At 49.3% G+C, this 22,145-nt stretch overlaps 1 protein-coding gene across 7 annotated transcripts in view, besides 6 other annotated features; it reads left to right on the top strand.

The window, feature by feature from the left end:
* The window catches only part of SHISA5 (shisa family member 5), a 36,935-nt gene that overhangs the window by 12,968 nt on the left and 1,822 nt on the right, over positions 1–22,145 (top strand). For 5 of the 7 annotated variants that reach the window (NM_001272066.2, NM_001272067.2, NM_001272065.3 and 2 more), the window contains 2 exons: positions 12,586–12,666; positions 22,000–22,115. In NM_001272066.2, the coding sequence (NP_001258995.1) occupies positions 12,586–12,666; positions 22,000–22,115 (197 nt within the window). Of the gene's footprint in view, positions 1–12,585; positions 12,667–18,684; positions 18,834–21,999; positions 22,116–22,145 lie in introns of those variants that run through there. The other 2 variants (NM_001272082.4, NM_001272083.4) reach the window with 1 other exon arrangement.
* Positions 12,322–12,371: an enhancer, noted in NCBI's record as "active region_19834". NCBI's record gives its function as "activates an Ori minimal core promoter by ATAC-STARR-seq in GM12878 lymphoblastoid cells {active_cell/tissue: GM12878}" and the evidence as "EXISTENCE:reporter gene assay evidence [ECO:0000049][PMID:35858748]".
* Positions 16,713–17,572: an enhancer, noted in NCBI's record as "OCT4-NANOG-H3K27ac-H3K4me1 hESC enhancer chr3:48515680-48516539 (GRCh37/hg19 assembly coordinates)". NCBI's record gives its function as "activates a minimal SCP1, AML or CMV promoter by ChIP-STARR-seq in naive H9 embryonic stem cells {active_cell/tissue: H9 hESC(naive)}" and the evidence as "EXISTENCE:reporter gene assay evidence [ECO:0000049][PMID:30033119]".
* Positions 18,292–18,401: an enhancer, noted in NCBI's record as "active region_19833". NCBI's record gives its function as "activates an Ori minimal core promoter by ATAC-STARR-seq in GM12878 lymphoblastoid cells {active_cell/tissue: GM12878}" and the evidence as "EXISTENCE:reporter gene assay evidence [ECO:0000049][PMID:35858748]".
* Positions 18,434–19,293: an enhancer, noted in NCBI's record as "NANOG-H3K27ac-H3K4me1 hESC enhancer chr3:48513959-48514818 (GRCh37/hg19 assembly coordinates)". NCBI's record gives its function as "activates a minimal SCP1, AML or CMV promoter by ChIP-STARR-seq in naive H9 embryonic stem cells {active_cell/tissue: H9 hESC(naive)}" and the evidence as "EXISTENCE:reporter gene assay evidence [ECO:0000049][PMID:30033119]".
* Positions 18,542–19,161: an enhancer, noted in NCBI's record as "active region_19832". NCBI's record gives its function as "activates an Ori minimal core promoter by ATAC-STARR-seq in GM12878 lymphoblastoid cells {active_cell/tissue: GM12878}" and the evidence as "EXISTENCE:reporter gene assay evidence [ECO:0000049][PMID:35858748]".
* Positions 21,773–21,922: an enhancer, noted in NCBI's record as "active region_19831". NCBI's record gives its function as "activates an Ori minimal core promoter by ATAC-STARR-seq in GM12878 lymphoblastoid cells {active_cell/tissue: GM12878}" and the evidence as "EXISTENCE:reporter gene assay evidence [ECO:0000049][PMID:35858748]".

Raw genomic sequence — 22,145 nt, 5'->3', positions numbered from 1 at the left:
ATGGTGAGACCCCATCTCTACTAAAAAAATCCCCAGGCATGATGGTGCGCGTCTGTGGTCCCAACTATTAGGAGGCTGAGGTGGGAGAATTGCTTGAGCTTGGTGGGGGCAGAGGTTGCAGTGAGCTGAGATCGTGCCACTCTACTCCAGCCTGGGACAGAGTGAGACCCTTGTTTCAAACAAAACAAAACAAAAACAAACAAACGAAAACAGCAGGAAGTGATAGGTGCTGTCAACGAAAAGCCAAACTCTAAAATATTTGAAGAGATTTATTCTGAGCCGAATATGAGTGACCATCGCCCGTGAAACAGCCCTCAGGAGGTCTTGAGAACATGTGCCCAAGGTGGTCCGGGCACCGCTTGGTTTCATACATTTTAGAGAGGCATGAGACATCAATCAAATACATTAAAGAAATACATTGGTTAGGCCGGGCGCGGTGCCTCACACCTGTAATCCCAGCACTTTGGGAGGCCGAGGCGGGCGGATCACGAGGTCAGGAGATCGAGACCATCCTGGCTAACACGGTGAAACCCCGTCTCTACTAAAAATACAAAAAATTAGCTGGGCATGGTGACGGGCGCTTGTAGCCCCAGCTACTCGGGAGGCTGAGGCAGGAGAATGGCGTGAACCTGGGAGGCAGAGCTTGCAGTGAGCAGAGATCACGCCACTGCACTCCAGCCTGGGCGACAGAGCGAGACTCCATCTCAAAAAAAAAGAAGAAATACATTGGTTTGGTCCAGAAAGGTGGGACGACTCAAAGGGCGGGGGGTTGGGAGGGTGGGGAGCTTCTAGCCTATAAGTGAATTTAAACGTTTTCTGTTTGACAATTGGTTGAGTTTGTCTAAAGACAAAATTGATTGATAGAAAAGGAATGTTCAGATTAAGATAAAGATTGTGGAGCCCAAAGTTCTTCTGAAGTCTTCTAGTGGCTGCCCTTAGAGACAATAGATGACAAATGTTTCCTATTCAGATTTTAGTTACTCTCTTTAGGATTGGGAGGGTCTGGAAGGAAAAGATCTAGCTATGTTAATAGAGATTCTTTACAGATGCACATTTTCTCCCATAGAGAACAGCTTTGCAAGGTCATTTCAAAATATGGCAAAGAAACATGTTTTGGGGTAAAATGTTTTGATTTTTTTTCCTTGTCTCTTAATGTTATGCCAGAGTCAGGTTGGAAAGTAAATCATGATATATAGGGTTAAATAAAACCCATTTGATGAGAATTTATGATTTGTAGGGCATGACTCCCCAGGCCCCTTAGATAGGAATTTGGGCGAGATAAAAAAAATCAGAGTTTAGTTCTCAGTGCCAGGCAATTCTAAATTCTAGCAAGACAAACTCCAGTAGACTTTAAGCCTTGGGAATAATCCTCTTTGGCTGGACACTCTGCCCTCTGGACCCACTGTGATGGGGGCTGCACCCCCATGGCTCTGCTGGGTGGTGGTCCTGGCCTTCAAAACTGAGGTGGCCGGCCAGGTGCAGTGGCTCATACCTGTAATCCTACCACTTCGGGAAGCCGAGGTGGGCGGATCACCTGAGGTCAGGAGTTTGAGACCAGCCTGACCAACATAGAGAAACCCCATCTGTATTAATAATGCAAAAATAGCTGGGTATGGTGGCGCATGCCTGTAATCCCAGCTACTTGGGAGGCTGAGGCAGGAGAATCGCTTGAACCCAGGAGGTGGAGGTTGTAGTGAACCGAGATTGCGCCATTGCACTCCAGCCAGCCTGGGTGGCAAGAGCAAAACTCCGTCTCAGAAAAAAAGCAACAACAACAAAAAAAACGGAGGTGGCGGCAACCTGGTTCCGGCCTGTGCACTCTGGGCCTGTGGTGGGAGTGGCAGCCTTGATGATTGAATTGTCTTTGAGGTCCTTTTCTTGTCTTTAAGAACACTGCACCTTGAAAATAGCGCTGCCAAGCATGATGGCTGACGCCTTTAATCCCAGTACTTTGAGAGGCTGAGATGGGAGGATTGCTTGAGCCCAGGAGTTCAAGACCAGCCTGGGCAATATAGTGAGACCTCGTCTCCATGATTTTTTTTTTTTAGTTAGCTGGGCATGGTAGCATGCACTTGTAGCCCCAGCTACTCAGGAGGCTGAGGTGGGAGGATTGCTTGAGCCTAGGAGATCAAGGTTGCAGTGAGCTGTGATCACACTACTGCACTCCAGCTTGGGTGGCAGAGTGAGACCCTGTCTCAAAAAAAAAAAAAAAAAAAAAAAAGGCCAGGCGCAGTGGCTCAAGCCTGTAATCCCAGCACTTTGGGAGGCCGAGGCGGGCGGATCACAAGGTCAGGAGATCGAGACCATCCTGGCTAACATGGTGAAACCCCGTCTCTGCTGAACAAAATAGAAAAAGTTAGCCAGGCATGGTGGCGGGCGCCTGTAGTGCCAGCTACTCAGGAGACTGAGGCAGGAATGGCGTGAACCCGGGAGGCAGAGCTTGCAGTGAGCTGAGATCATGCCACTGCACTCCAGCTTGGGTGACAGAGTGAGACTCTGGCTAAAAAATAAAAAAATAAAAAAATAGCTGTAGCAGGGGTGTCCAATCTTTTGCCTTCTCTGGGCCACTTTGGAAGAAGAAAATTGTCTTGGGCCACACATAAAACACACTAATGATAGCTGATGAGCAAAAAAAAAAAAAAAAAAATCTCATAATGTTTTAAGAAAGTTTAAGAATTTGTGTTGGGCCACATTCAAAGCCATCCTGGCCTGAATGTGGGCCGCTGGTCACAGGTTGGACAAGCTTGCTCTATGGCCCAGTCCTGTAGGATCTTAGATGTCCGACAGCCTTCCTTCACTTCATCCCCTTTCTCCCCTCTGGCAGGTGCTAGGGTGACTGATTAGGTCTGTGATTCATACCCATTCTAATCTCCTTACCTCGCAGTTTTTGGACTACTCTCTTAGTATTTACAGTATGGATAGGCTGAGAATTGTCCAGATTTTTAAATTCTAGTTCTTTTTTTGCTTAACAATTCATTTCTCTTTTTTCACTTTTTTTTTTTTTTTTTTGAGACGGAGTTTCGCTCTTGTTGCTCAGGCTGGAGTGCAATGGCATGAGCTCAGCTCACCGCAACCTCCACCTCCCGGGTTCAAGTGATTCTGCTGCCTCAGCCTCCCTAGTAGCTGGGATTACAGGCATGTGCCACCACGCACGGCTAATTTTGTGTTTTTAGTAGAGACGGGGTTTCTCCATGTTGGCCAGGCTGGTCTCGAACTCCCGACATCAGGTGATCTGCCCGCCTTGGCCTCCCAAAGTGCTGGGATTACAGGCGTGAGCCACCGCGCCCGGCCTTTTCACATTTTACTATAAGCAGTTGGCTGGGTGCGGTGGCTCACGCCTGTAATCCCAGCACTTTGGGAGGCCAAGGTAGGCGGATCATGAGGTCAGGAGATCAAGACCATCCTGGCTAACATGGTGAAACCCCATCTCTACTAAAAATACAAAAAGTTAGCCGGGCATGGTGGTGGGCACCTGTAGTCCCAGCTACTCGGGAGGCTAAGGGAGGAGAATGGCGTGAACCAGGGAGGCGGAGCTTGCATTGAGTCGAGATTGGGCTACAAGCAAGACTCTGTCTCACAAAAAAAAAAAAAAAAAAAAAAAGCAGTCAAGAGGATCCAAGCTGCTCCTTCAACACTAAGTATCCCATATATTTCAAGTTTTCCTCTGAATTGCTCAATCTTTTGTTTAATCTCTTTAAGCTCTTTTTTCCTTTAATCTCACTGTGTAATCTTTAAACAGTGTATGTGTTGTTATTCTAATGTCAGTGTCTGATAATTTCAGTATTTTAAGGCAAATTTTTCTCCTTAGCTTCACTGGTTTTCCTTCAAATGTATTAGGGTATAATTGTTTATAATGCTTTTAAATTTTGTTTTGTTTAACATCTAAAGAAATATCCCCCATGGGTACTTCTTTTGTTTTGTTTTGTTTTGGTTTGGTTTGGTTTTTTGAGACGGAGTCTCACTCTGTTGCCCAGGCTGGAGTGCAGTGGCATGATCTTGGCTCACTGCAACCTCTGCCTCCCAGGTTCAAGCGATTCTCCTACCTCAGCCTCCCAAGCAACTTGGGTTACAGGCATGTGCCACCATGCCCAGATAATTTTTTTGGTATTTTTAGTAGACAGGGTTTTGCTATGTTGGCCAGGCTGGCCTTGAACTCCTTACCTCAGGTGATTCACCCACCTTGGCCTCCCAAAGTGCTGGGATTACAGATGTGAGCCACTGCGCCCAGCTGGTATTTCTTTTTTTGTGTGTGTGAGACATACAAGGTCAGTATAGTAAAAAAATCTATTAAACTTCTAATTAAAAATATAATTTCAAAAGACGTTTCCAATAGCATCAAAAACATCAAATACCTAGGAAAGACAAAATTTCTACACAGAAAACTATGAACCATAAACTGTAAAACATACAAACTGTGTATTTATAAAACATATAAACATACAAACTATAAACATTAAAACGTATAAACTGTATGTTCATAAAGCATATAAACTATGTAACTATATAAACTATAAAATACATAAAACATTATTACAAAAAATCATAGCCCTAAATAAATGGAGGCATAGACAGGGCTCATGAATTGGAAGACCATATTTTAAAGATATTGATTCCCCTCAAATTGGTATATGGAATTTGTTAAATTTCAGTTTTAGAAAACTCTTGGCAGGCGCATCTGTGTGGGAGTGTGTGGGAGTGTGTGTGTGTGTGTGCGTGTGCGTGTGTGTGTGTGCGCCTATGGACATTATTATATTTTTTTAATACTGATGGGATCTCCCTATGTTGCCCAGGCTGGTCTTGAACTGCTGGGCTTAAGCAATCCTTCCAACTTGGCCTCCCAGAGTGCTAGGATTATAGGCATGAGCCGCCACACCTGGCCACCTGTGGGTTTTTCTTTTCTTTTCTTTCTTTTTTTTTTTTTTGAGATGGAGTCTTGTCTCTGTCACCCAGGCTGGCGTGCAGTGGCTCAGTCTCGGCTCACTGTAACCTCCACCTCCCGGGTTCAAGTGATTCTCCTGTCTCAGCCTCCCGAGTACAGGCATTGCAGGGATTACAGGCATGCGCCACCATGCCTGGCAAATTTTTATTTTATTTTATTTTATTTTTATTTTTAGTAGAGACAGGGTTTCACCATGTTGATCAAGCTGGTCTCAAACTCCTGACCTCAGGTGATCCACCCGCCTCCGCCTCCCAAAGTGCTGGGATTATAGGCGTGAGCTTATAATCTATTATAATATATATATAATCTATATATATAATATATAATATATAAAATCTATAATCTATATAATATATAATATATATTTATAATTATATTATATATATTGTATATTATATAATTATAAATATATATAATATGTAATATATATAATATAATTATAAATATATAATATATAATATTATAAATATATAAAATATATAATATATAATATATATTATATATTATACATTATATAACATATTATATATTATATAATATATAATATATAATACATTATCATTATATATTATATAACATAATGTATTATATATTATATAATATATAATATATAATACATTATATGTTATATAACATAATGTATTATATATAATATATAATATATGTAATCTATAATCTATTTTCTATTGTCAGTTTTTTCTGCTGTTTTCTATTCATACTGTCTGGTCTCCTAGTGTTTCTGAAAATTTTTGATTGTGTGCCTAACATCACATTTGCAAAATTGATTATAGAAATTTGGAGCCAGGACTTTCTCCAGGGAGGATTTAGGTTGCTTCTGGCAGTAACTCTAGCGTTCTCAGATCACCTGGTCTAGTTGTAGAGACTGAAATTATTAGAGGCTGAGCCGTCTACTCAGTCTCTCCCTTCCTCTTAAGGTACAGCTTTTCGGGTCCCAGCCTAAGTGAATGGGGGTCATCAGGGCCACCTCACCTGGTAGGCTCTGGATCTAAGCCCTGTCACCTTGGTCTCCTGAAGCTTCCAGAAGTGCTGCTCAGCCTCTCAGCTGCCCTTCTGAAAGTGGCTAATGCTCCAAGGAGAAAAAGGACCTCAGCTGTCAGGCTCATCTCTGGATCTTTGTCCCCAGCCTCACCACCACTCATATCAGCTTCACATTCTTTCCATTGCTCTCTGAAGCTTTCACACTGATTTCTTTTAAATGTATATAATATTATATGTAGATTTTATATATAAATATAATATATACTTATATATAATATCTATATATTATATATAAATACATATTCTTATATTATCTTATATTAAATATAGAATATATATTATATATAATATATTATATATATAATATATATATTTAATATATATATAAAAATATATATTTTTTGAGATGGAGTTTTGCTCTTGTTGCCCATGGTGGGCAACAAGTGCAATGGCACGATCTTGGCTCACTGCAACCTCCACCTCCCAGGTTCAAGCGATTCTCCTGCCTCAGCCTCCCTAGTAGCTGGGATTACAGGCATGCACCACCACGCTTGGCTAATTTTGTATTTTTAGTAGAGACGGGGTTTCTCCATGTTGGTCAGGCTGGTCTTGAACTCCTGACCTCAGGTGATCCGCCCGCCTTGGCCTCCCAAAGTGCTGGGATTACAGGCGTGAGCCACCGTGCCCGGTCTCACACTGGTTTCTTTTCTTTATTTCTTTTCGTTTTTTTGAGACTGAGTCTTGCTCTGTCCCCCAGGCTGAAGTGTAGTGGCATGATCACGGCTCACTGCAGCCTCTACCTCCCTCAAGTGATCCTCCTGCCTCAGCCTGTTGAGTAGCTGGGACCACATGCCCAGCCAACTTTTGTATTTTTTGTAGAGAAGGGGTCTCACCATGTTGCTCAGTCTGGTTTTGACTCCTGTGCTCAAGCGATTCTCTAGCCTCGGCCTCCCAAAGTACTACATGCCTGTAGGCACGAGCCATTGCACCTGGCCTCAGATTTCTTTTTTTGAGATGGAGTTTTGCTCTCATTGCCCAGGCTGGAGTGCAGTGGCGCCATCTCGGCTCACTGCAACCTCTGCCTTCTGGGTTCAAGCGATTCTCCTGCCTCAGCCTCCTGAGTAGCTGGGGCTACAGGCACCTGCCACCACGCCTGGCTAATTTTTTGTATTTTTAGTAGGGATGGGGTTTCACCATTTTGGCCAGGCCAGTCTCAAACTCCTGACCTCAGGTGATCTGCCTGCCTTGGCCTCCCAAAGTGCTGGGATTACAGGCATGAGCCACTGTGCCTGGCCTTCTTTATTTTTTGGTTTTGAGACAGTGTCTCGCTCTGTCGCCCAGGCTGGAGTAGCACAATCTCAGCTCACTGCAACCTCCGCCTCCTGGGTTCAAGCAATTCTCCTGTCTCCGCCTCCTGAGTAGCTGGAATTACAGGCAGGTGCCACCACGCCCCGCTAATTTTTGTATTTTTAGTAGAGACAGGGTTTCACCATGTTGGCCAGGCTGGTCTCAAACTCCTGATCTTAGGTGATCCGCCTGCCTCGGCTTCCCAAAGTGTAGGGATTACAGGCATGAGCCACCGCACCCAGCCCACATATTTCTTAAAAAATATTTTCTCCTCAGCTTTACTGGTTTTCCTCCAAGTGTATTAGGGTATAATTGTTTATAACGCTTTTACATTTTATTTTGTTTTACATCTAATTTTGGAAAGTTTCAAATAAGTACAAAAGCAGAGAGAACAATATAACTCAATGCATCCATCACCCACTTCCCGTTACCAATACTCTGACACCATTGTGCTATATATGTCCCACCACTTTTCTTTTTCTGAATTATTTTAAAGCAAATCCCAGACATCATAAAAAGTTCTTCTTAAATATTAGTATTTGGCTGGGTGCAGTGGCTCACACCTGTAATCCCAGCACTTTGGGAGGCTGAGGCAGGAGGATCACTTGAGTCCAGGAGTTTCAGACCAACCTGGGCAATATAGTGAGACCTTATGTCTACAAAAAATTCAAAAAATTAGCTAGGTGGGGTCAGCCCCCCGCCCGGCCAGCCGCCCTGTCCGGGAGGGAGGTGGGGGGGTCAGCCCCCCGCCCGGCCAGCCGCCCCGTCCGGGAGGGAGGTGGTGGGGTCAGCCCCCCGCCCGGCCAGCCGCCCCGTCCGGGAGGGAGGTGGGGGGGTCAGCCCCCCACCCGGCCAGCCGCCCCGTCCGGGAGGTGAGGGGCGCCTCTGCCCGGCCACCCCTACTGGGAAGTGAGGAGCCCCTCTGCCCGGCCACCACCCCGTCTGGGAGGTGTACCGAACAGCTCATTGAGAACGGGCCAAGGTGACAATGGCGGTTTTGTGGGATAGAAAAGGGGGAAAGGTGGGGAAAAGATTGAGAAATCAGATGGTTGCTGTGTCTGTGTAGAAAGAAGTAGACATGGGAGACCTTTCATTTTGTTCTATACTGAGAAAAATTCTTCTGCCTTGGGATCCTGTTGATCTATGACCTTACCCCCAACCCTGTGCTCTCTGAAACATGTGCTGTGTCCACTCAGGGTTAAATGGATTAAGGGCGGTGCAAGATGTGCTTTGTTAAACAGATGCTTGAAGGCAGCATGCTCCTTAAGAGTCATCACCACTCCCTAATCTCAAGTACCCAGGGACACAAACACTGCTGAAGGCCGCAGGGTCCTCTGCCTAGGAAAACTAGAGACCTTTGTTCACTTGTTTATCTGCTGACCTTCCCTCCACTATTGTCCTATGACTCTGCCAAATCCCCCTCTGCGAGAAACACCCAAGAATGATCAATAAAAAAAAAAAAAAAATTAGCTAGGTGGGATGGCATGTGCCTGTAGTCCCAGCTACTTGGGAGGCCGAGGTGGGAGGATCACTTGAGCCCGGGAGGTCATAGCTGCAGTGAGCTGTGATCACACCACTGCATTCCAGCCTGGGTGACAGATGAGACCCTGTGTCAAAGAGAAAAAGGCCGGGCACGGTGGCTCACACCTGTAATCCTAGAATTTTGGGAGGCCAAGATGGGTGGATCACAAGGTCAGGAGTTCGAGTCCAGCCTGACTAACATGGTGAAACCCCATCTCTACTAAAAATACAAAAATTAGCCGGGTGTGTGGCACATGCCTGTAATCCCAGCTACTCAGGAGGCTGAGGCAGGAGAATCGCTTGAACCTGGGAGGCAGAGGTTGCAGTGAGCCGAGATTGCACCACTGCACTCCAGCCTGGGCGACAAGAGACGAGACTCTGTCTCAAAAAAAAAAAAGTGAGTTTTCATTGCTAAAAATGAGGTCCTTGAAGGCAAATATAACTATTTCCCTTCCAATATAAGGGCAATATAACCACTATCATATTTGGCACAATTAACAGTAATTCACTGATAGCTTTAAATACTGTGTTCAGTTGCCTCCACTAGTTTCCAAAATGCCTTTTCACAGATGGTTTGTCCAAATCGGAATCCAAATAATGTTATTATGTTATTTTATTTATTTATTGTTTTCGAGACAGGGTCTCAGTCTGTCGCCCAGGCTGGAGTGCAGTGGCGTGATCACAGCTCACTGCAGCCTGGAACTCCTGGGCTCAAGTGATCCTCCCACCTAAGCCTCCTGAGTAGCTGGGACCACAGGTGTGTGCTATTGCACTTGGCTGCCCTCCTTTTTCGTGGTTAGTCTTGTCAGAAGTCTATTAGCTTTGGTTTGCTAATCTTCTCTATTATTCTCTATGGCTATTCTGGTTTATTTTTGCACTTACCTTTATTAATTTCTTCCTTGTTTTTTGGGTTTTCCATTACTTTTTTTTTTTTTTTTGAGACAGAGTCTTTTTTTTTTCTTTTTTGTGAGACAGAGTCTCACTCTGTCCCCCAGGCTGGAGTGCAGTGGCATGATCTCGGCTCACTGCAACCTCTGCCTCCCGGGTTCACACCATTCTCCTGCCTCAGCCTCCCGAGTAGCTGTGACTACAGGTGCCCGCCACCACGCCTGGCTAATTTTTTTTGTATTTTTAGTAGAGACAGGGTTTCACTGTGTTAGCCAGGATGGTCTCGATCTCCTGACCTTGTGATCCACCCGCCTCGGCCTCCCAAAGTGCTGGGATTATAGGCGTGAGCCACTGCACCCGGCCGAGACAGTCTTGCTCTTTTCACCCAGGCTGGAGTGCAATGGCATGATCTTGGCTCACAGCAACCTCCACCTCCCAGGTTCAAACAATTCTCCTGCCTCAGCCTCCCGAGTAGCGGATTACAGGCGGCCACCACCACACCAGGCTAATTTTTGTAGTTTTAGTAGAGATGGGGTTTCGCCACGTTGGCCAGGCTGGTCTCGAACTCCTGATCTCATGATCCGCCCTCCTCAGCCTCCCAAAGTGCTGTTATTACAGGCGTGAGCCACCAACCTGGCCACATTTTCCATTACTTTTAAAGAAATCATCTTGAGTTTATTTTATTTTATTTTATTTTATTTTATTTTTTTGAGACAGAGTCTCGGTCCATTGCCAAGGCTGGAGTGCAGTGGCACGATCTTGGCTCACTGCAACCTCCACCTCCCGGGTTCAAGCAGTTCTCTGCCTCAGCCTCCCGAGTAGCTGGGATTACAGGCGCCTGCCACCACACCCAGCTAATTTTTTGTATTTTTAGTAGAGACAGGGTTTCACCATCTTGGCCAGGCTGGTCTTGTACTCCTGACCTCATGATCCACCCACCTTGGCCTCCCAAAATGCTGGGATTACAGGCGTGAGCCACCACGCCCAGCTCATCTTGAGTTTAATATCATCTTATTTATTTATTTATTTATTTATTTATTCTTATTATTTTTCAAGATGGAGTCTCGCTCTTGTCGCCCAGGCTGGATTGCAATGGTGTGATCTCGGCTCACTGCCGCCTGCACCACCTGGGTCGAAGCAATTCTCCTCCCTCAGACTCCAGAGTAGCTGGGATTACAGGTGCCCGCCACCACGCCTGGCTAATTTTTGTATTTTTAATAGAGACGGGGTTTTACCATATTGGCCAGGCTGGTCTCGAACTCCTGACCTCAGTTGATCTGCCTGCCTCGATCTCTCAAAGCACTGGGATTACAGGCATGAGTCACTTCCCCTGGCCCATATCATTTATTTTTAACCATTCCTGTTTTCTGATAAATTATTATTATTTTTGACATTTGAGTCTTGCTCTGTCACTTAGGCTTGAGTGCAGTGACGTGATCTGAGCTTACTGCAACCTCCGCCTCCTGGGTTCAAGCGATTCTCCTGCCTCAGCCTCCCGAGTAACTGGGATTACAGGTGCATGCCACTGAGCCCGGCTAATTTTTGTATTTTTAGTAGAGATGGGGTTTCACCATCCTGGACAGGCTAGTCTCAAACTCCTGACCTTGAGATCCACCCTCCTCGGCCCCCCCATTTCTTGATAAATTCTATTAAAGATACAAATCTCCCTCTAAGAACTATTTTATCTGTGTTTCACGAATTTTGATGTATTTTCATCATTTAGTTCTACATACTTGTTAGTTTCCTTTATTACTTCTTCGTGATCATGATATCTTCTCCCCTGCCAGGTAAGTATCCTTTATGAGTTCTTATTTAACACAATACAAATCAAGAGTTTTGGTTTTATTTTGCTTTTTTTTTTTTGTACCTTCTTAGTTTCCCAAGGTAGGAGTTTTTTGTTGTTGTTGTTGTTGTTGTTTTAGTACTTTTTAAAAAAACTCTGTGGAGGCCAGGCGTGGTGGCTCACGCCTGTAATCCCAGCACTTTGGGAGGCCAAGGCAGGTGGATCACGAGGTCAGGAGATCGAGACCATCCTGGCTAACACGGTGAAACCTTGTCTCTACTAAAAATACAAAAAATTAGCCGGGCGTAGTTGTGGGCGCCTGTAGACCCAGCTACTCGGGAGGCTGAGGCAGGAGAACGGTGTGAAGCCGGGAGGCGGAGCTTGCAGTGAGCCGAGATCGCGCCACCGCACTCCAGCCTGGGCGAGAGAGCAAGACTCTGTCTCAAAAAAAAAAAAAAAACTTTGTGGAAATGTAGGCCAGGTGTGGTGGCTAACGCCTGTAATCCCAGCACTTTGGGAGGCCAAGGCGGGCAGATCACGAGGTCAGGAGTTCGAGACCAGCCTGGCCAATATGGTGAAACACTGTCTCTACTAAAAATACAAAAATTAGCTGCGCATGGTGGCGGGTGCCTGTAATCCCAGCTACCCAGGAGGGTGAGGCAGGAGAATCGCTTGAACCTGGGAGGCGGAGGTTGCAGTGAGCCAAGATCGTGCCTCTGCACTCCAGCCTAGGTGACAGAGGAAGACTCCATCTCAAAAACAAAAAAAAATTATAATAAACTTTGTGGCAATGTGGTTACTGATTTGTAACTTCATCCTGTTGTGGTCAGAGAAGATCCTTTGTATGGTATCTGTCTTCTAAAATCTGCTGAGACTTGTTTTGTGGCCTAACATATGTTCTCTCCTGGAGACAGTCTGGTGGACACCTGAGAGGATGTGTGGCTTTGTGCTATGAGATCCCGGTGTGGGCAGAGTCCACCTCTGGAAGGCCATTGAAGCCACCGGTTCATAGTAGCTTCTGTGCACGTTTTGTGGTGCCCTAAGGTAGTGTTTGTGCTGGCGCTCGGTGGGGCTTCATTGTGCTAATCACAAGGTTTCCTGTTTGCAGCGTGCCTGCCAGTGTAGAGCCGGTGGAGCAGCTGGGCTCGGCGCTGAGGTTTCGCCCTGGCTACAACGACCCCATGTCAGGGTAAGTAAAGCCTGCTGGCTGGGTGCATCTTCCTGGCAAAGGTGACAAGAGGGCTCAGGGGGGCCAGTGTGCATCTGGGGGACTGGGATGATTCGGTCATTGGGGTGGAGCCCAAGAAACTGTCACCATATCTGACCACTAGGACACTTGCTCCTTATGCTGTGAAGGTGTCTTCATTAGTGTGCTGGGGTGGTGGGGACGTGGGTGACTGTGGTCGGGGGTTGACAATTGAAGGGCCAGGGGTCCGGGGTACATTGACCTAGATGCTGGGTTGAGTCAGCAGATGACTGATGGGTCCCGATGGGGGCAGGAGTGACAGAGAAGGGGCTGTAGTGGGCATGCGATGATGGTAGATGGGGGCGGGTATATTGTGATTGGGCATTGGTGACAATGGTGATGGTGATGGGGTGATGGTGGTGCTGGCAAGCACATGGTATTGGGGTGATAACGGTGGGGAGAGGTCCTGGGACAACCAATGATGCCACAGTTCCTGTGTGAAGCTTTGTGGGTCATGGTTACTGTGTCAGGACTCTCCTCTCAGGGAACCAAGGAGCAACCCCAGCCCCCAAACCCCAGTCCCCTTGGCTGGGCTCCGGCCTGTGTTATTGCCACCGTAACAGGAGTTGTGACATCTTCCTGGAGGTGGAATGGGTGTGCAGCCACTAGGGCGGGCTTTCCTGCCTGGGTCTGTTCCACTTGCTGTCTCCCCTCTTCCCTGGTGGATCTAGAAGCCGCTTAAAGAAAAGGTCTGCCCAGGAGGGCAGGGTTTCCCCTTTGGAGGAAGAGACCTTGGGCTCTGGGCCTGAGTGGGGGGCTTGGGTTCTTGTTTTGCCCCATCCCATCCTGTAGGCCCAGGCAGGTGTGGGGCCTCACTGGCTACAGCAGAATCAGGGCAGGGCTCCTGTGCGTGGAGGAGGGGAAGAAGTGCAGCTGTGCCCCTCCTCAACACCTCAGGGCTGGTTGGAGCCTGAGATCTCTACAGGCCTTCCCCTCCACGTCCAGGAGCCCAGGAGCGGCTGTCCTGCCCTGAGGCCCAGGATTGTGGGCTTTCAGATGGCCCCGTGGGAGATGCCTATGCCCAGCCTGTGTGGGCCTGGAGGCAGTCAAGGAGTGGGCCTCGTCCTGAGGACAGTGGGCATCACAGAGGGTTCTGGGAGCGCTGGGGACCGAATGGAGTTTTAGGAAGACCACACTGGCTGCTCTGTGGAAGATGGAAAGAGCAGATGGGGTGGGTGTGGGAGGTGGGAAGTCGTTTCTGTAGGAGGTGGCCTCAGGCGGCTTCCTGGCCAGAGGCGCTGGAGGCCAGAGAGAGCCAGAGAGAGCCAGAGCTTGGTGGCAAGAGGTGAGGATGGAGACTTACATTCAGCAGCTCCCACAAGGCAGGGTGTGGAGGGAGTGGGAAGGAGCAGGGGCTGGACACTGGAGGAGGGCAGGCTTGTGGTGAAGTGCGCTGTGGAATGGAGATTTCACACCACGGAGTCCATGGCACCCTGGGCAAGAGCGAGGCAGTGGAGCAGATTGAAGAGCAGTTGGAAATTGTATGCTGGTCGCAGGCAACTCCTTGGAGAGTTTTAGCCGTGAATGGATGAGGAGTAAGACAGGCATTGAAGCTGGGCACAGTGCCACACTTCTGTAGTCCCAGCTACTTGGGAGGCTGAGGCAGGAGGATCGCTGTAGGCCGGGAGTTCAGGGCTACAGTGAGGTATGATCCTGCCTGGGAATAATCCCTGCACTCCAGCCTGGGCGACCCCGTGTTTTTTGTTTTTTGTTTTTAAAAGGGAGGCCGGGCGTGGTGGCTAATGCTTATAATCCCAGCACTTTGGGAGGCTGAGGTGGACAGATCACCTGAGGCCAGGAGTTCAAGACCAGCCTGGCCAACATGGTGAAACCCTGTCTCTACTAAAAATAACAAAAATTAGCTGGGCGTGTTGGCGGGTGCCTGTAATTCCAGCTACTCTGTAGGCTGAGGCAGGAGAATCACTTGAACCCAGGAGGCAGAGGTTGCAACAACAAAAAAAAGGAGTTGGAGAATCCATGTGAAGGGTTGTTCTGTTTCTTTTTTTTTTTTTTTTCTCAATGTTATAGATTTGAGCTGGGACAACAAGGAGGAGACAGTGCGGAACAAGCTCCCAGAGGGGCATAGGAGGAGGAGTGGCTTCCTGGGGTTGTGGCAGCAGGGAGGTGACTGGGGCCAGCTCAGAGGCACCTCTGACTCCCCAAGGTGTGCATGTGGGACCTGTTCTGTTAGCCCAGCTGCCGCCGTGGTGTGCATAGCACTGGGCCTCGTGTGCCGTGTGCTTGGCGTGCCCTGCTGCCTCCTGCCCCAGGCTATTTTGCCCATGCATCGAGAAGAGCAGGTGACTGGAGTGATGCTCCCCCTCCCGCGCCTCATGTCATCTCTTGTCCTCTGCTTTGTTCTGAGCCCCAGCTCATGCCTAGGACCTGCTTTATAAAGGTGCAGGAGCCAAAGAAGTGGGTGCTGGGAGGAGGGGAGGGGGACAGGGTCATCAATGACTCCTCTCTTTTGAACTCTCTCAGGTGGCTGCCTGTCTGGGTCCCAAGGAGACATCCTCTGCTGGGCATCCATGTGCTGCCTACTTGGCCAAGGGCACTGTTTGTCCACTGGAGAGTTGGCTCCATGTTGAGGGCCTGGCCCCTGCTGTCGAGGCCATGGCCAGGAGCTCAGGAGAAGCCAGGCAGGGGAAAGACCCCAGGCCAGGAGCCCCACCCCAGCTCTGCCCCACTCTCTGCCACTGACCCCTCCTCCTCTCCTTATTTTGGGACCCTTGCCTCTGGCTATCTCCCTCTGGGCTACTTTTTTTTTTTTTTTTTTTTGAGATGGAGTTTCTCTCCTGTTGCCCAGGCTGGAGTGCAGTGGCACAATCTCTGCTCACTGCAACCTCCGCCTCCTGGGTTCAAGCAATTCTCCTGCCTCAGCTTCCTGAGTAGCTGGGATTACAGGTGCCGGCCACCATGCCCGGCTAATTTTTGTATTTTTAGTAGAGATGGGGTTTCACCATGTTGGCCAGACTGGTCTCGAGCTCCTGACCTTGTGATCTGCCCGCCTCAGCCTCCCAAAATGCTGGGATTACAGGCTGAGCCACTGTGCCCGACCTGGGCTACTTTTTGAGTTCCCTAGGCATGAGGCAGCAGGCTGGAGCCTGGATCCAGATGGGCCCACATCTGCCTGGCCCAGAACCCCTGCCGCAGGAGGATGCCACCCATGGCAGGGGTTATAGTGTGGCCCTATTTGTGGGCTCAGGGTTGGCCCAGGTCTTCTGCCCCCTAGACTTTGGCAAGTGAATCTCTGTTTAATGGTGAGTGGCTCCAGCCATTCTTGCCTTATTCACTCCCCAGATAGTCTCCTGGTTGTTTTGGATCCTACTGTCATGTCCTCTTCCCAGCTCCTTGCACTCACAGGACTGTCGGGCAAGACTGTTGGGTTTCTAAGTACCGAATGGCAGAAGCTCTGGCTGCAGACCCCAAGGAGGCCACCACTGACCCTCTGCTGTGACTCCACTGCCACAGTGCAGGGGAAAGGGAGAGAGGCCCATTAGGCGAGGTGTGGCCACAGCCCCGGTGCTACCTCCCAGCCCTCAAAGCGTCCTTTCTGTGGTTCTCAGGCCCTCAAGCCTGTCTGGGGCCTTGCTGACACCAGGGTGGGGGTGCGGGTATCCCAGGTCCAGAGCCAGCCTGTTCACTGTCTAAGGTTTGGAGTCTTCCATTTCTTGGAGGCCGCCGAGTTCTCCCCAGACCCTACAATCCTGCCCAAACTCCCTGCCGGGGTGGCTGCCCCTCTGCCTTCTGCTCCCTCCTGCTTGGGCCGACTCTGCCTTTTGAGCTTGGCCCCAGCCTTGGGAGACCCCATTCCTTCCTCTCGGAGGCGTAGTTCCATTGGTACTGTAGCCACGTGTGGCCTTGTACCCTAGCCCCGCTCTGCAACCACCCCTTGAATGTTGCTTGGTTTTCTAAGGTCACCGTGCCTGGGTGGGGTCTCTGAGTGAATTTATTCATTTACCTGTCCAATATTTATTGATTAATTCACAACATTATGCAAAAATTTTTTTTTTATTGAGCACTCACTATATGCTAGGCACTGGAAATATAGTGGTGGCCGAAAGCTGTATTGGATGATAATGGTACAAAGCAGGGGCAAGACGTAGTTGATCAAATGCTCACACACAACAGAGTGTGTGTTTATGAACTGAAGTAGAAAGGAATTTAATTCCGTGCGGGCATGTGCTGAGGGGCCTGGCCTCTTCTGCATGGTGGGGAGGGTGCTCCTGGGGAAGTGACCTGAGGCCTGAGGGGTGAGCAGGAATGAGTTAGGTGTGGCTGAGATGAAAGGAGGAAAGGGCTGAGCTGGCAGGAGTATCTGCATGTGCAAAGGCCTTGAGCAGGACACAGCATGGTGCTTTCAAAGCTGAAAGGAGGGGGATGGGACTCAGCACAGAGGTTGAAGGAGAGGGGGCAGTTCCAGACCACACATGGCTTTGTGGGCCTAATAGGGAGTTTTATTTTATTTAAAATTTTAATTAAAGGCCAGGCACGGTGGCTCAGGCCTGTAATCCCAGCACTTTGGGAGGCCAAGGTGGGCAGATCACCTGAGGTCGGGAGTTCGAGACCAGCCTGGCCAACGTGGTGAAACCCCATCTCTACTAAAAATACACAAATTAGCCAGGTGTGGTGGCACGCACCTGTAGTCCCAGCTTCTCGGGAGGCTGAGGCACGAGAATCACTTGAACCCGGGGAGGCGGAGGCTGCAGTGGGCTGAGATTGCACCATTGCACTCCAGCCTGGGTGACAGAGAAAGACTCTGTCTCAAAAAAAAAAAAATTAAATTAAAAAATAAAATTTTAATTAAAGATTAAAAATTAGCCTGGGCAACACAGTGAGACCCTGTCTCTACAAAAAATAAAAAAATAGCCGAGTGTGGTGGTGCATGCCTGTGGTTCCAGCTACTTGGGGGACTGAGGTGGGAGGATCACTTGAGCCTGGGAGTTTGAGGCTGCAGTGAGCTGTGATCGTGCCACTGCACTCCAGCCTGGGCAACAGAGTGAGACCCTGCCTCAAAAAAATAATAATAATAAAATTTCCTTTATTGTAAATTTCACTGTCTGGTGAGACAAATCCCAGATTTTTCTTTTCTTCCTCTTCTTTTTTTTTTTTTTTTTGAGACAGATTCTCACTCAGTCTCCCAGGCTGGAGAAAGCCTCCTGAGTAGCTGGGATTACAGGTGCGTGCCACCAAGCCTGGCTAATTTTTGTATTTTTTGGTAGGTAAAGAAGGAGTTTTGCCATGTTGCCCAGGCTGGTCTCGAACTCCTGGGCTCAAGCTTCCCAAAAGCCTCGGCCTCCCAAAGTGCTGGGATTGCAGGTGTGAGCCACTGCACATGGCCTCTTTTCTTCTTTTATTGTCAACTATAATACATACACAGGAAAGCACAGACACACTCAGTTTAACATGTAATTATAAAGCAAATTCCTTTGTAATCGCAAGAGCTACAGGAGCCATAGCTGGCGTTTGAGCAGGTGGTGACATGATGGACCTTGCATGGTGGCCCCAGTAGGGTGGCCGGGAGAACATGGGGAGACAGATTGGAGAGAGTGCTGGTGGGAGAGGAGGAGCTAAAGGGACAGGCTGGACTTTGCTCCTTGCATGTGTGTCAGCCAGGGCCCCAGGGTCGCCCTCTGGGCCTAGATGGATGCAGAAGCTCCTCCTGGAGGCTGGTGGAACAGGGCCGGTGGGTTAGGTGGAAGTGGGGGTGGGGGTGCTGCTGAGCTAGAGTGTGGTTGGGGCCCACTGAGGCTGGGGTGGCTCTTAGACCCCCTAGTGGCCAGGCTGCATTCTGAGGTCAGGCCCTGTAGGCTTGGCTCAGGGAGGCAGCTCTGGGAGGCAAATGGGGCACCTCTGCTTCCCCTCCTCCCCGGCCCCCGCCCCTTGGCTCCTTGGCTGCTAGCCGGCTGCTGGGCGGGGCCATCCTGTGTCTTTAAGAGGGTGGAACGGGGCTTCGCGTCTGTGCTTCCTGTGGCTGACGTCATCTGGAGGAGATTTGCTTTCTTTTTCTCCAAAAGGGGAGGAAATTGAAACTGAGTGGCCCACGATGGGAAGAGGGGAAAGCCCAGGGGTACAGGAGGCCTCTGGGTGAAGGCAGAGGCTAACATGGGGTGAGCTTGGGCGCCATGCTGCGTGTGTGTTTGAGAGACAAACACTGAGAGATCTCTGGAGGGATGATAACGGCCTTGCGGTCGCATGTCATTGATGGCGTGTGAATGTGTGTGCGTTTCTCCATTCCTGCCTCTGGTTGGGCCGGAAGACACCTGTAGTCTGCTGGTCCTGTTTTAGGGCCTTGTCCTGGACGGCCTGGGGCTGATGGCTCCTGCTTTGAGAGTCCTGAGGGGTGCTTTTGAGCCTGGAGTCTTTAGCTCTGTCCCTGGGCTGTGCTGTGGGGCCCTGCTGAAGTTGTGCAGTCCCAGGGCGGGGTAGGGTGGGACCCACACCCTCCTTGGGCCTCTGTTGGGCAGAGGCTGCTGGGGGATGCCCTACAGCTAACAAAGCTCCTAGAGTTTTTGGATGTGTTTGATGCAGTTACCAAGCATTTGCCTTTTGTTGGAATAAAGCTTGGGTTGGGCATGGTGGCTGACACCTTTTAAAAAAAACTTATTATTTTTTATTTTTTTGGAGACAGAGTCTCGCTCTGTCACCCAGGCAGGAGTGCAGTGGCGCGATCTCTGCTCACTGCAACCTCCGCCTCATGGGTTCACGTGATTCTTCTGCCTCAGCCTCCCCAGTAGCTGGGACCACAGGCACGTGCCACCACGCCCGGCTAATTCTTTTTTTTTTTGTATTTTAGTAGAGATGGGGTTTCACTATGTTGCCCAGGCTGGTCTCAAATTCCTGACCTCAGGCGATCCGCCTGCCTCGGCCTCCCAAAGTGTTAGGATTACAGGCATGAACCACTGCGCCTGGCCTATTTATTTTATTTTTTAATTTTTTGAGACGGAGTCTCCCACTGTTGCTCAGGCTGGAGTGCAGTGGCACAATCTTAGCTCACTGCAACCTCCCTCCTTGGTTCAAGCGATTCTCCTGCCTCAGCCTCCTGAGTAGCTGGGACTACAGTTTTGCGCCACTACGCCCTGCTAATTTTTGTATTTTTAGTAGAGACAGGGTTTTACCATGTTAGCCAGGGTAGTCTAGAACTCCTGACCTCAAGCGATCCGCCCACTTCGGCCTCTAGAAGTGTTGCCACCGCGCCTGGCCAGTTTTTTATTTTTATTTTTTATTTATTTACTTTTTTGAGATGGAGTTTCGCTTTTGTTGCCTAGGCTGGAGTGCAATGGTGTGATCTTGGCTCACTGCAATCTCTGCCTCCTTGGGTTCAAGAGATTCTCCTGCCTTAGCCTCCCAAGTAGCTGGGATTGCAAGCACCCACCATCATGTCCGGCTAATTTTTTTTATACTTTCTCGAATTCCAGACCTCAGGTGATCCACCTGCCTCGGCCTCCCAAAGTACTGGGATTACAGGTGTGAGCCACCGCACCCAACCGTTTTTTATTTTTTAAAATCTTTTATCATCCAGTACAAAATGTAAGGCTGACTTTTTTTTTTTTTTTTTTTTTTTTGAGACAGAGTCTCACTCTGTCCCCCAGGCTGGAGTGCAGTGGTGCGATCTTGGCTCACTACAACCTCCACCTCCTGGGTTCAAGCGATTCTCCTGCCTCAGCCTCCTGAGTAGTTGGGACTACCGGCTAATTTTTAGTAGAGACGGGGTTTCACCATGTTGACCAAGCTGGTCTCAAACTGCTAACCTTGTGATCCGCCCATCTCGGCCTCCCAAAGTGCTGGGATTACAGGCATGAGCCACCGCACCCTGGCCACGAGACAGTTTTAATCTCAGCACTTTGAGAGGCCGAGGAGGGAAGATTGCTTGAGGCCAGGAGTTGGAAACCAGTTAGGTAACATAGTGAGACCCCTGTCTCTGCAAAAATAAATGTGGTAGTGCATGCCTGTGGTTCCAGCTACTGGGGAGGCTGAGGTGGGAGAATCACTTGAGCCTGGGAGGTGGAGGCTGCAGTGAACTGTGATCATATCACTGCACTCCAGCCTGGGCAACAGAGTGAGACCCTGTCTCAAAAAATAAATTAAAAAAGAAAAAGAATGAAGCTTGGCCTCTGCAAACACGGCAGGGTGGCTAGTAAGGGGCTCTGTCTGCATTTGGAAGTCAGGTTTTTTTTTTTTTCTTTCATTTTTGAGACAGAGTTTTGCTCCTGTCCCCAGGCTGGAGTGCAATGGCGTGATCTTGGCTGAATGCAACCTCTGCCTCTCGGGTTCAAGCGATTCTCCTGCCTCAGCCTCCCAAGTAGCTGGGATTACAGGCACCCGCCACCGTGCCCGACTAATTTTTGTATTTTTAGTAGAGACAGGGTTTCACCATGTTGGCCAGGCTGGTCTCGAACACCTCACCTCAGGTGATCCGCCCTCCTCGGCCTCCCAAAGTGCTGAGATTGCAGGCATGAGCCACTGCCCCCTCCTAGAAGTCAATTTTGGTGAGCTTCCCAGCCCAGGGCCTGCTTTCTCAAAGGGCAGGCCCTCTGGCCTCCTGCCTCCAGGCCTCTGTGTCCTCCCCTTGGCTCTTGGCCCTCTCACCTGTGGAAGTGGCCATGCAGGTCAGAGGTGGGGGACCCAGGGGTGTGTGTGACCCCTGGCACGGTGCTTGGCATACAGCAAGCTTGCAGGCAGAGGCAACTGTCCTTATCACTCAGGGGCCAGCCTCCCTGCCCTGGGGCTGTTGTGGAGTGCAGGGGAACAATGGGGGCCTCCTGTTCTGGCCACACTGGCCTCTGCCCTCCTGGGGCTTCTCTCAGTCTTCACCCTGTGCTTTGTGAGCCATGTTATCTTCACTGTCTGCCTCCTACACTGGACTGTGGGCTCCCAGAGGCCAGGGCTGGCTGTCTTGCCCACTGTTAAGTTTTTTGACTCAAATCACAGTGCCTGGCTTGTGGCATGTGCCCTATACCCATCTGCTGATCAGTTGGTTGTGAGGTGGACAAGATAGATGTATGTGTGTGGCATGGGACTTGAAGAGCTTCCTCCCATGCCTCTGAGGGTGGGACAAGCGGGGGAGACCCAGGGAGAGACAGTTACAGGGACTCACATATACCCCAGTTTACACAAGAGGAAACAGATTGAAACAGGTGCAGGCCACCCGACAAGGAAGTAGCTATAACTGTATTGCCCAGACCCCTTCTGGCAAGAGGGGCATGCCTTGGGAAGGTGTGGATGCTGGTCTGGGGAGGGGCGAGGTGCCCCGGGTCACGTCTAGCTCTTTGGCAGGTTCGGAGCGACCTTGGCCGTTGGCCTGACCATCTTTGTGCTGTCTGTCGTCACTATCATCATCTGCTTCACCTGCTCCTGCTGCTGCCTTTACAAGACGTGCCGCCGACCACGTCGTAAGCGTGCCCACCCTGCCCCACTGTGAC

The sequence above is a fragment of the Homo sapiens genome, chromosome 3 (assembly GCF_000001405.40).
Source record: "Homo sapiens chromosome 3, GRCh38.p14 Primary Assembly".
NCBI lineage: Eukaryota > Metazoa > Chordata > Mammalia > Primates > Hominidae > Homo > Homo sapiens.
The sequence above is the reverse complement of the archived record's forward strand: the minus strand, read 5'-3'. Positions and strand labels throughout refer to the sequence as shown.